Genomic DNA, 12,452 nt, shown 5'->3' with positions numbered 1-12,452 from the left:
GGGGAATTACACTGTTGTTATACTGGGGTATTTGGATAATGTTTACTTTTTCCCCTCGCATTTATAAACTGCTATTGAATAATTTTTATAACTTAAAAAGTAGAGTTGTTTAGGCCGGGCATGGTGGCTCACGCCTGTAATCCCAGCACTTTGGGAGACAGAGGTGAGTGGATCACCTGAGGTCAGGAGTTCGAGACCAGCCTGGCCAACATTATGAAACCCTGTCTCTACTAAAAATATAAAAAATTAGCTGGTGTGGTGGCAGGCATCTGTAATCCCAGCTACTCAGGAGGCTGAGGCATGAGAATCACTTGAACCTGGGAGGCGGAGGTTGCAGTGAGCCGAGATCACACCACTGCACTCCAGCCTGGGCAACAAGAGCGAAGTAATGTCTCAAAAAAAAAAAAAAAAAATAGAGTTGTTTAGAAACAACAACTAATAAAGAGGAGAGGTTTACCAACCAAAATGAAAAACTTCGTTTTCGGTCTAGATTAAAACATTAATCCCTACAAGTGTTGACTACTGGTTTTCATTGATCTAATCTGCTACAGATTTATTGATTTACCTCTAAGTCATATTATGAATATTTATAAACTTACAAAGAAATCTATCTAGAAACCCAGTTAACATATAACATCCGACATACTGTATTTCTTGTCAGACAAGGAATATTTTGCACTTGATTTTCTTATAGTAACAGAGGCTATTAGCCCTGAATTTTGTATTATGTATTGTGGCGTTGATGCATCACGCAATACTGATTGTATTCGGTTGCGTGAGAACAGTGTACCAAGCTCAGAGTCAACTACAAGGCCAAGTACAAAGCATGATTGTTACTGTGGACTGTCTTGATAGAGAATGAGGCACAGATCATAAAAATGCCCACTTTTTGGCCAGGCGTGGTGGCTCACGCCTGTAATCCCAGCACTTTGGAAGGCCAAGGCGGGCGGATCATGAGGTCAGGAGATCGAGACCATCTTGGCTAACACGGTGAAACCCGTGTCTACTAAAAATACAAAAAATTAGCCGGGTGTGGTGGCGGGCGCCTGTAGTCCCATTACTCGGGAGGCTGAGGCAGGAGAATGGCGTGAACCCGGGAGGCGGAGCTTGCAGTGAGCCGAGATCGTGCCACTGCACTCCAGCCTGAGTGACAGAGCGCAAGACTCCCTCTCAAAAAGAAAAAAAAGCCCACTTTTACATATGCTACTATATATAAACTCAGCTGTGTTCAATGCTGATGAGACAAAGACTGAAGCTATGTGTCCAAGTCCTCCCATCACGTTTTTAGGAAGAATACTATGCCCAGAGCATCAGGATGTCACAAGATCTCGAAATCACTTCCTTTGAGCGTTTGCTAAAGTTTGGATCTAAGTATCTTTAACCTAGAGGAGAAGACCAAGGAGATATATGAGGAAAATTATGAAGGAAAGAACACTGATATTGTGTTGGTCTAGAAATACTTAAGGGGTGCCTGTAATTTCAGCTACTTGGGAGGCTGAGGCAGGAGACTTGTTTGAACCCGGGAGGTGGAGGTTGCAGTGAGCTGAGATCGCGCCACTGCACTCCAGCCTGGGCAACAAGAGTGAAACTCTGTCTCAAAAAAAGAAGAGGAAAAAAGAAAGAAAAAGAAATACCTAAGGTAGAAGTTGAGAGCAGGCAGAATTTTAGCTCAGAATAAAGGACTTTATAATTATCAAAGTCACCCTCTAACTCAGCCATGGAACTGATTTTCTCATGAGTTTCCATGTTACCAGTCTCTGGGAGTGTTTGGTGAAAGATTAACCATCCCACTGCCAGGGATGTTATAAAAGGGGAAGGAACTACAAGGTGATTGCATGACTCTTGCAGGTCTGAAATTTTGTTATTCTAAGGCATTTGTTTTGTCTTGCCTGCCTGCCTGCCTGCCCGCCTGCCAGCTCCCTCCCTCCCTGCTTCCCTCCCTCCTGACTTCCCTTCCTCCCTTCTGTGTGTTTTGACAGCTGTACCCATTTGCGTGAATTTGTATGACCTTTCGAACATTTCCATCCTCCCAGAAAGTTTCCTCATGTCCCTTTCTAGTCAAGCACCCCAGAGGCAACCACTTTCTGATGTCTATTTTGTAGGCTAGGTTTATCCTTGTATTTCTTATAAATGGAATCACAAAGCATATAATGATTGTTTTCTTATTTTTAGCCAACAAAACTTTTTGAGATTTAGACAGTTGTGGCATGCATGAGTAGCTCATGCTTTCTATTGCCGAATAGTATTCCATTAACAGATATACCCCAATTTGCTTTTCTGTTCTCCTAATGATGGATATTTGGGTTGTTTCTAGTTTGGGGCCCTCATGAATAAGGTTGCTATGTATATTTTTGTACAGGCTTTTTTTTTTTTTTTTTTGAGAAATAGGCTTTTATTTCCGTTTGGTAAATACCTAGGAGTGAGCCAGGCATGATGGCTCATGCCTGTAATCCCAGCCGAGGCAGGTGGATCACCTGAGGTTAGGAGTTCAAGACCAGCCTGGCCAACATGGTGAAACCCCGTCTCTACTAAAAATTCAAAAATTAGACAGGCGCAGTGGCGCGTGCCTGTAAATCCCAGCTACTCAGGAGGGCGAGGCTGGAGAATTGCTTGAACTCGGAAGCGGAGGTTGCAGTGAGCGGAGATCGTGCCACTGCACTCCAGCTCCAGGGTGGTAATAGAGCAAGATGCCACCTCAAAAAACAAAAAACAAAAAACCTAGGAGTAAAGTTTCTGGGTAAGATGGTAGATATATGGTTAACTTGATGAGAATTGACAAATACTTGTACAGCGCCCTTTGTGCCATATTTTCCCCCAACAATTAGTATTGTAAGTCTTTAGTTTGCACACTGTAGTGAGTGTGAAGCAGTATCTTATTTTGGTTGAAATTTGCATTTCCCTAATGACTTAACAATATTTGAGCTGTTTTTCATGTGTTTATTGGCCATTTGTATATCTTCTTCTGTAAAACATCTGTTCAGATCTTTTGCCTATTTTAAAGTTAGCTTTTCTTTATTGTTAATATGTAGGAGATCTTTATATACTCTAGATACAAATACTATGTCAGATATATGTTCTACAAATATTTTCTACCATTCTGTGGCTTATTTATTAATTTTTGTAATAGTATCTTTGGATGAACAGAAAATTTCTCTTGATAGAGAATGAGGCGTGGATCATAAAAATGTCCACTTTTACATATGCTACTATATATAAACAGAACTGTGTTCAATGCTGATGAGACAAAGACTGAAGCCATGTGTCCAAGTCCTCCCATTACATTTTAGGAAGAATACTATGCCCAGAGCATCAGGATGTCACAAAATCTAGAAATCACTTCCTTTGAGGATTTGCTAAATCAGATTGACCAATCTCTTTTCTTTTGTGGATAGTCTTTTTATGTCCTGTCCAAGAAATTTTTGCCTACCTACTCCAGGCTATAAAAATTTTCTCTCTTTTTTTTTTTTCTTTTAGAAGCTTTACAGTTCTAGGTTTTACAGTTAAGTCTATGAACCATCACAATTTTTTTTTTTTTTTGGTATGGAGAGAAAAGGGTTGAGGGGTTTTTTACTTCCTCATACATATATCCAGTTTTTCCAGCACCATATGTTGAAAAGAATTTTCTTTCCTTTGTTGAGAATTGAGCACGTGCGTGTGTGCATGTACACACACACACACACACACACACAAGTCTATCTGGACTCTGTTTTGTTCCATTGATGTGTTTGTCCTTATTCTAATATCAGACTCTCTTGATTAGTATATATTTATAATAAATTGTGAATTTTGGTAACATAATACCTCCAACTTGTTTTGTTCTGTTTTGTTTTGTTTTGTTTTGTTTGAGATGGAGTCTCGCTCTGTTGCTCAGGCTGGAGTGCAGTGGGTGCCTTTCTTGGCTCTCTGCAAGCTCCGCCTCCCGGGTTCATGCCATTCTCCTGCCTCAGCCTCCCGAGTAGCTGGGACTACAGGAGCCCACCATCACGCCTGGCTAATTTTTTGTATTTTTAGTAGAGACGGGGTTTCACCATGTTAGCCAGGATGGTCTCAATCTCCTGACCTCATGATCCACCCGCCTAGGCCTCCCAAAGTGCTGGGATTACAGGCGTGAGCCACCGCATCCAGCCTGTTTTTCTTTGTTAAGATTATTTTGGTTATTCTAAATAATTTTCTTTGTAAATTTTAGAATTGGCTTGCAGGTTTCATTTTAAAAGCCTGCTAGAATTTTGATTAAGATTGCATTCAATGTATAAAATTCTGTACGATATCTGTCAATTGAAAAAAAAATGAACCAGTATCTTTAAAATACCGTGTTCTCTCTTATAAATGAGCAACCAATATATGAAAAAAAAAAAAATAACAAATGAGGGTGAGGATATGTGGAGAAAAAAAGGAACTCTTTTATACTGTAGGTGGGAATGTGAACTAGTACAGCTATGATGGAGAACAGCATGGGGGTTCCTCAGAAAACCACAGATAGAACTACCATATGGGTCAGGCCAGTTCTCCTTTTTTTAGGCCTTCTTTCATTTCTCCCAGCAATGTTTTATAGTTTTTATTATAGAGGTCTTACACATCTTCAGTTAGATTTATTTCTGAGTATGTAATATGGCTTTTGATGCCGTTATAATGGATTTTTTTACTTTTATTTTTTCTCCGTTCTTTATCACTGGTATATAGAAATATATTGCCTTTTACTATTGACTGTATGTGCAAATTTATTAGATTTACTTACTAGTTCTAGTAGTTTTTAAATAGACTTTATCGTTTTCTGGGTGTACAATCATGTCATCTGCAAATGCACCTTTACAGCTCCCTTTCATACCTTTTTGCTTTCTTCCCCCCTGCCTTATTGAACAATCTGGGACTTCTAATAAAATGTTCAACAGATGCTGTCAGAATAGACGTCATAGCCTTGTTCCTGATCTTAGATAAAAAATGTTCCATGTTCCACCTGTAAGTATGATGTTAGCTCTGAGAGTTTTAAATATAGATAGCCTTCCTCAGGCTGAAGAAGTTCCCTTTCGTTTCTATTTTGCTGATAATTTGTATCATGGATGGACACTGAATTTCGTCATACCCTTTGTCTGCATTTATTGAGATGATCATACTATTAGCTCCTTGAGTCTGATCATTGATTTCACATCTTTCTTCTTTACTAATATATGCATTTAGAGCACTAAACTTCCATAAGTCGTGCTTTAGTAGCATCCTAAAAACTTTTGTGCTAGGTTGTTGTCTTGTTCTATTCAAGCTGCTATATTAAAATGCCATCAACTGGCTGGCTTATAAACAATAGAAATTCTCACCGTTGTGGAAGCTGGGGAGTCAAGATCAAGGTGCCTACAGATCTGGTGTCTGGTGAGGATCTGTTTCCTGGTTCATAGACAGCTGTCTTCATTGTAACTTCACATGGTGGAAGAAATGAGGATGCTCTCTAGGAACTCTTTTATAAGGTCATAAATCTCATGCATGGAACAGGATTCGTTCATTCATACGGGCTTTACTCTCATCACCATTCACCTCCCAAAGGCCCCACATCCAAATGTCATCACACTGGTGATGAGGCTTCAACATAATTTTGAAGGCACACCAACATCCAGTCTATAGCAGTTGTCCTTCTTTCTGCTTTCTGCTTTCTCTTGTGGTTTCATCTTTGCCCTGTGGGGAAATCAGAAGTGTTTTCCTTAATTTTCAAATATGACAGAATTTCCCATTTTTGACATGTGTCCTTTCATCATGATGAAAAGTTCCTTTTTATGTCTAATAATACTCCTTTTCAAGAAGTCTGTCTGGTCTGATATTAATATAGCTTTGCCACCTTTCTCATACAAACACTATGCTTTATAGTGAGTTTCATAGCAAAGTATATAGTTGTGTCATCTTTTTTTAAAAATCTTGCTGGGGGAGGGATAGCATTAGGAGAAATACCTAATGTAAATGACGAGTTGATGGGTGCAGCAAACCAACATGGCACATGTATACCTATGTAACAAACCTGCACGTTGTGCACATGTACCTAGAACTTAAAGTATAATTTAAAAAAGAAAAAAAATCTTGCGTGATACCCTTTGTCTTTTAATTGAAAAGTTTAGTCTGTTTACATTAATGTGACTATTGATATAGTTGAATTTAAGCATGCCAGATAGATATTGTATTTCTGTTCCTTTCATCCCATCTATCTTTTGTTCCTCTTTACCCCTTTCCTGAATCATACATTTTTAGTATGTAATTTTATTTCTTCTGTTAATTTTTATTTTAAAACTATACCTCTTGGCAGGGCATATGTGTGTGTGTGTGTGTGTGTGTGTGAGTGTTTTCTTGGTTTCTTTTTTAAGTTATTGCTTTAGAGCTGAGTTGTTCGATACATGTAGCTATTTATATTTTAATTCATTGAAATATGAGAGAATTAAAATATGTTCTGAGTATTGTATAGAAAATGAATTAAAATGAATCAGGACTAGAAACAAGGATAAGTTAGGACATTGTTTGTTTGTTTGTTTGTTTTTTCCCCCAAGACAGAGTCTTGCTCTGTCACCCAGGCTGGAGTACAGTGATGCGATCTCACCTCACTGCAACCTCCACCTCCTGGGTTCAAGCAATTCTCCTGCCTCAGCCTCCCAAGTATCTGGAATTACAGGCGCACGCCACCATGCCCAGCTAATTTTGGTATTTTTAGCAGAGAAGGGGTTCCACCATGTTGGCCAGGCTGGTCTCAAACTCCTGACCTTGTGATCCGCCCGCCTCGGCCTCCCAAAGTGCTGGGATTACAGGCGTGAGCCACCAGCCCATTCATTGTCTTTATCTTTTCATATTTATTTTATCTTGCTGTATACAAGGCATTCTCCTAGGGGTGGGAGGTATAAGGATGAATAAAAATTAGTTTGTATCATAATCTTCCTGTTAAAGACATGTAAACAAATCGATAGAATATAACTATACGGTCTATAAATAAGAGGTTTGTAGGAAGTGCTGCAGGAGGCAAGAAGCAGGAGCACCCAACTCCTTTGTGCCTTTCAGATACTATTCTTTTTGCATGGGTTGCCTTTTTCCTGCTTTTTCACCCATGTCGCCTTCAGAATTTAGCTCACACATCATTCTGGAAACTTTATTTGATTTCCTTGTTTGCTTTACTTAATGCTTTAAGAAAAATGGTGACTGGTATTGAACAGCACATCTCCAAAGCAGTCACTATAAAAACAGGAAGGAGGGAGAAGGAGGGAGGAAAAAAAAAAAACAAAATGAAAAATATAATAGTCATAAATCCCTTGACAGAGATATGTTCTGAGAAATGTGTTGTTAGGTAGTTTTCTCATTGTGCGAACATCATGGAGTGTACTCACACAAAACTAGATGGTAAAGCCTGCTGCATGCCTAGGCTATATGTATGGTATGGCCTATTGCCCCTAGGCTGAAAACCTGTACAGCATATTATTGCATGTAAGCAGTTGTAACAAGATGGTAAATATGGTCGGGTGCAGTGGCTGACGCCTGTAATTCCAGCCCTTTGGGAGGTCGAGGTGGGTGGATCATTTGAGGTCAGGAGTTCGAGACCAGCCTGGCCAACATGGTGAAACCCCATCTCTACTAAAAATACAAAAATACAAAAATTACGGGTGGTGCGCACCCGTAATCCCACTTACTTGGAAGGCTGATGCGGAAGAATCGCTTGAACTTGAGAGGCAGAGGTTGTGGTGAGCTGCTATGACACCACTGCACTCCAGCCTGGGCGACAAGAGTGAGACTCCCTCTAAAAAAAAAAAAAAAAAAAAAAGTTTCTGTATCCAAACATAGAAAAGGTACAGTAAAAATATGGTATTATAACATTATAATACTGTACCACTTATGGTACTACTGTCGTAGATGTGGTCGGTCATCGACTGAAATGTCATGTGGCACATGACTATATAGGCTCACTGTAAGAAATTCAGGCCAGGCACAGTGACTCATGGTTGTAATCCTAACACTTTGAGAGGCTGACACAAGAGGATCTCTTGAGGCCAGGAGTTTGAGACCAGCCTGGGTGACATAGCAGGGCCTGGTCTCTACAAAAAATTTAAACAATAACCTGGGAGTGGTGGCACATGCTTACAGTCTCAGCTACTCAGGAGGTTGAGATGGGAGGATTGCTAGAGCCTTGAAGACTGCAGTGAGCTATTGTGGTACCCTGTATCCAGTCTGGGTGACAGAGCAAGACCCTCTCTCTCAAAAAAAAAAAAAAAAAAAAAACACACAGAAATTCAAACAACACAGAAAAATGCAAGGAAGAAGGCAGCAGTCACACAGGATCCCACCATCTAGAAATAATCATTAGTAGCATTAGATTAATATTATCCACATATACCCCTATAGGTTTGTAAATATAAAAAGATGGATACAAATAATTTTACATAGTTAAGATCGTACTATACTATATATGCTATTTTAAATGTTGTGAAGGGCTCAATTTCACTTAAAAAGATTAGAATTAAAAAAGAAATGAATTTCACATCAAGGATTCTTTTCTTTTTTTTTTTGAGACAGAGTCTCTCTCTGTCGCCCAAACTGGAGTGCAGTGGTGCAATCTCGGCTCACTGCAACCTCCACCTCCCTGGTTCAAGCGATTCTCCTGCCTCAGCCTCCCGAGTAGGTAGGATTACAGGCATGCGCCACCATGACCGATTAATTTTGTATTTTTGGTAGAGACGGGGTTTCACCATGTTGGTCAGGCTGGTCTCGAACTCCCAACCTCAGGTGATCCTCCTGCCTCGGCCTCCCAAAGTGCTGGGATTATAGGTGTGAGCCACCGTGCCCAGCCCACATCAAGGATTCTTTACAAGAGATAGTAATTACTAAAAGATCCCTCAAGCTTAACAAAAAACATTAAAGTTTTGGTGATTTTAAAAGGCTACAAGTTTCTGTATGATTAACTTTTCAACTGCTCGATATGCCTCGTTGCGAGAGATGAAGAAATTAGCACTTTCAATTTCTTTTCACCTTCCTTCCCCACTCGCAACCACTGACTAATTTTTCAGTTGGAATTACATTGTACTGTTGTGACCTTTCTGTACCTTTCTGTTATCTAATCCACGTATTTGTTTACTCTTAGTCCAGTATTTAAATGGATTTGGTTCTCTCCATCATCTCTTTATTTATCTTTTGATTGGCTAGATTTCTTCATCATGTAGTTTTCTCAAGAAGGGCCCAGGTAGTCCCTGAAGTCTACTGTGCCGTCTGTTCCTTTTTTTTTTTTTTTTTTTGAGATGGAGTCTTGTTCTGTCACCCAGGCTGGAATGCAGCAGCGTGATCTTGGCTCAGTGCAACCTCTGCCTCCCGGGTTCAAGCGATTCTCCTACCTCAGCCTCCCGAGTAGCTGGGATTACAGGTGCACACCACCACACCCGGCTAATTTTTGTATTTTTAGTAGAGAAAAGGTTTCACTATGTTGGCCAGGCCGGTCTCGAACTCCTGACCTCAGGCAATCCTCCCTCCTCAGCCTTCCAAAGTGCTGGGATTATAGGCGTGAGCCACCGTGCCTGGCCTGTCTGTTCCTTTATACTTGAATGACAGCTTGGCTAGGCATAAATTCGGCAGGTCATGCTTTCTTTCCTCTGAATGTGGCATTTCTCCTGTCTGCTGGAATTGTGTTAAATCAGTTTTCTTCTTTACTACTGCTTTTTTTTTTCCTTTTACAATCAGAATTGCAGTTTTCAAAGAATCGACATGAGTTCTGTACCTTTTCAGTTACTGCACTCGAGATCATTATTGCTAGGATGAACAACCACAGCTGTGATACTGTGATGTGAACCGGGGTATTTCAGGAATAGTAATCATGTATGTTTCCTTTCTAGAGATAATTGACGACCTTGCCAACCTAGTGGAGAACACAGATGAAAAACTTCGCAATGAAACCAGGCGGGTAAACATGGTGGACAGAAAGTCAGCCTCTTGTGGTAAGAGATAGCTACGTTATGGCTCTGTTTCTGTCATAGCTTGTGGATTTACTCTGCTCTGAGTTTCCTGTTTGTCTAATTACTGTGGGGATTTGGTTGCTCTTCTGATACAGGCAGTTCCATTTGATGAAGCACTGAAATTGCTAAACAATGGTTAAATCTGGTCAAAATGAAATGGAGTTCAAAGGGCATATCATTCATTGTTTTTTTGTTGTTGTTTTTGTTTTTAATTTAAAAGTCCTTTCTGTGTGTTTACAGAGATTAATGGTTTGGGAAATTGTATAACATTATACTGGTTGGCGGGTTTTAAAGGGGATCTCACTTGCTTTTGTGCCGTCTTAAAATAACCACAAGCTTAATTGAGTTCAAATCCTATGTTTAGTGATGGTATCTTTGTCAAGTCACCTTACCTCTTGATACCTTGTATGTAAAATGGGGATTCATATGCCAAGATAAGAATCGCTTGGAGGGCTTGCTTAAAATACTGATCCTGAGGCCCTCCCCTGGGGATTCTGATTGAGTAGATCTAGGGTGGAGTTCAAGAATGTTCATTATTTAACAAGTGTACCAAGCAGTTCTGCTGCAGGTGCTTGTTCTGCAGAAATTCTGATGCAGACTTTTGTGAGGTTTAAATTGTGTATTGCCGGTGCACAGTGCCTTGCCCAAAGGTACGTGATGATAAATGATGGGAATAGCAGTAGTAATCACAGTAATTGTTTTTGGGTGCTTCGTCTCACAAGGGTGCACCAAGATTATAAAGCTGACATATTTATGAAAACTAGAATCACAGGCCACCTGCAGTGGCTCAGGAGTTTGAGACCAGCCTGGGCAACATAGCAAGACCTCTCTGTCTCTATAAAAAATTTAAAAATTAGCAGCCTGGGCAACATGGCGAGACCCTGTCTCTACTAAAGATACAAAAAAATAGCCAGCCATTGTGGTACACACCTGTAGTAGTCCCAGCTACTTGGGAGGCTGAAGAGGGAGAATTGCTTGAAGGTTGCAGTGAACTGAGATTGTGCCATTGCACTCCAGCCTGGGTGACAGAGTGAGACCCTGTCTCAAAATTAATTAATTTTAAAAATTAGCCAGGCATGGTGGTATGTGCCTGTAGTCCTAGCTGCTTGGGAGGCTGAGACAGGAGAATCACTTGAGCCCAGGAGGCTGAGGCTGCAGTGAGCCATGATTGTCTTACTGTACTTCCACTTGGGTGACAGAGTGAAACCTTGTGTCTTTAAAAAAAAAAAAGAATTACAAAAGCAATTTAAAAAAAACCTAGAGATCTGAGAACATACTTTGCCAAACTTTCAGCCTTTTTAATATGAAAAATGTAATGGATCCTCTCCATCTGTCCACTTTGGAAGCTCTGGGCAAGGGTCCCTGAGATGTGCAGCTTCAGAAGCATCACCTTCCCTGGCTGTGTTTGCTCAGTAAGAAAGAAGGCTAGAACAATGGGGTGAGAGAGGGTCAGGCACATAGAGACTCTGCAAGCTCAGAGGTAGTGGAGCCCCATGGGGTCTCCTTGAGACCCTTTATCACCACTGTCCTGCCCGACCATCCTGCCCTGTGCTTCTGGTCCTCAGTTTTTGCTTTATCAATCTTCTCCCATAACTTCTGGCCACAGGGACTTTGTTATCTATGATAGATCCTGAAACTTTAAAGATGAGAGATACTGTGTCCGGAATTGGTTCCTTCAGGTGGGTTCTTGGTCTCGCTGACTTCAAGAATGAAGCTGTGGACCCTCGCAGTGAATGTTACAGTTCTTGAAGATGGTGTGTCCGGAGTTTGTTCCTTCCGATGTTCAGATGTGTCCGGAATTTCTTCCTTCCGGTGGGTTCGTGGTCTCGCTGACTTCAGGAGTGAAGCTGCAGACCGTTGCAGCCGGTGTTACTGCTCACAAAGGTGGTGCGGACCGAAAGAGTGAGCAGCAGCAAGATTTATTGTGAACAGTGAAAGAACAAAGCTTCCACAGCATGTAAGGGGACCCGAGCGGGTCAGGGTTGCTGCCTCAGGTGGCCTGATTTTATTCCTCTCTTTGGCTCCGCCCATGTCCTGCTGATTGGTCTATTTTACAGAGTGCTGATTGGTCCATTTTACAGAGTGCTGATTGGTCCATTTTACAGAGTGCTGATTGGTCTATTTTTACAGAGTGCTGATTGGTGCGTTTACAAACCTTAAGCTAGACACAGAGCACTGATTGGTGCATTTTTACAGCGTGCTGGTTGGTGTGTTTTACAGCATGCTGGTTGGTGTGTTTATAAACCTTTGTCTAGACACAGAGCGCTGATTGGGGCATTTTTTACAGAGTGCTGATTGGTGCGTTTTCAAACCTTTAGCGAGACACAGAGCGCTGATTGGTGTGTTTATAATCCTTTAGTGAGACAGAAAAGTTCTCCAAGTCCCCACCCGACCCAGAAGTCCAGCCGGCTTCACCTCTCAATATGAGTTCACTTCCACCTCTCTCTTAATCTGGGCCTCAGTTTCCTAATTATAAGAAAGCGGAGAATTTGGTTATCAAAA

The 12,452-nt window shown here is 40.9% G+C and overlaps 1 protein-coding gene across 4 annotated transcripts in view; it reads left to right on the top strand.

The window, feature by feature from the left end:
- STX8 (syntaxin 8) overlaps positions 1-12,452 on the top strand; it is a 325,350-nt gene that overhangs the window by 187,337 nt on the left and 125,561 nt on the right. For 3 of the 4 annotated variants that reach the window (NR_033656.2, NM_004853.3, XM_011524079.2), the window contains one exon: positions 9,831-9,932. Coding sequence is in view for 2 of the 4 variants with exons in the window: in NM_004853.3 (NP_004844.1) it covers positions 9,831-9,932 (102 nt within the window). In the remaining 2 variants the exon portion in view is untranslated. Of the gene's footprint in view, positions 1-9,830; positions 9,933-12,452 lie in introns of those variants that run through there. The other variant, XR_934120.3, reaches the window with a different exon arrangement.

Source organism: Homo sapiens, chromosome 17 (assembly GCF_000001405.40).
Source record: "Homo sapiens chromosome 17, GRCh38.p14 Primary Assembly".
Lineage (NCBI taxonomy): Eukaryota > Metazoa > Chordata > Mammalia > Primates > Hominidae > Homo > Homo sapiens.
The sequence above is the reverse complement of the archived record's forward strand: the minus strand, read 5'-3'. Positions and strand labels throughout refer to the sequence as shown.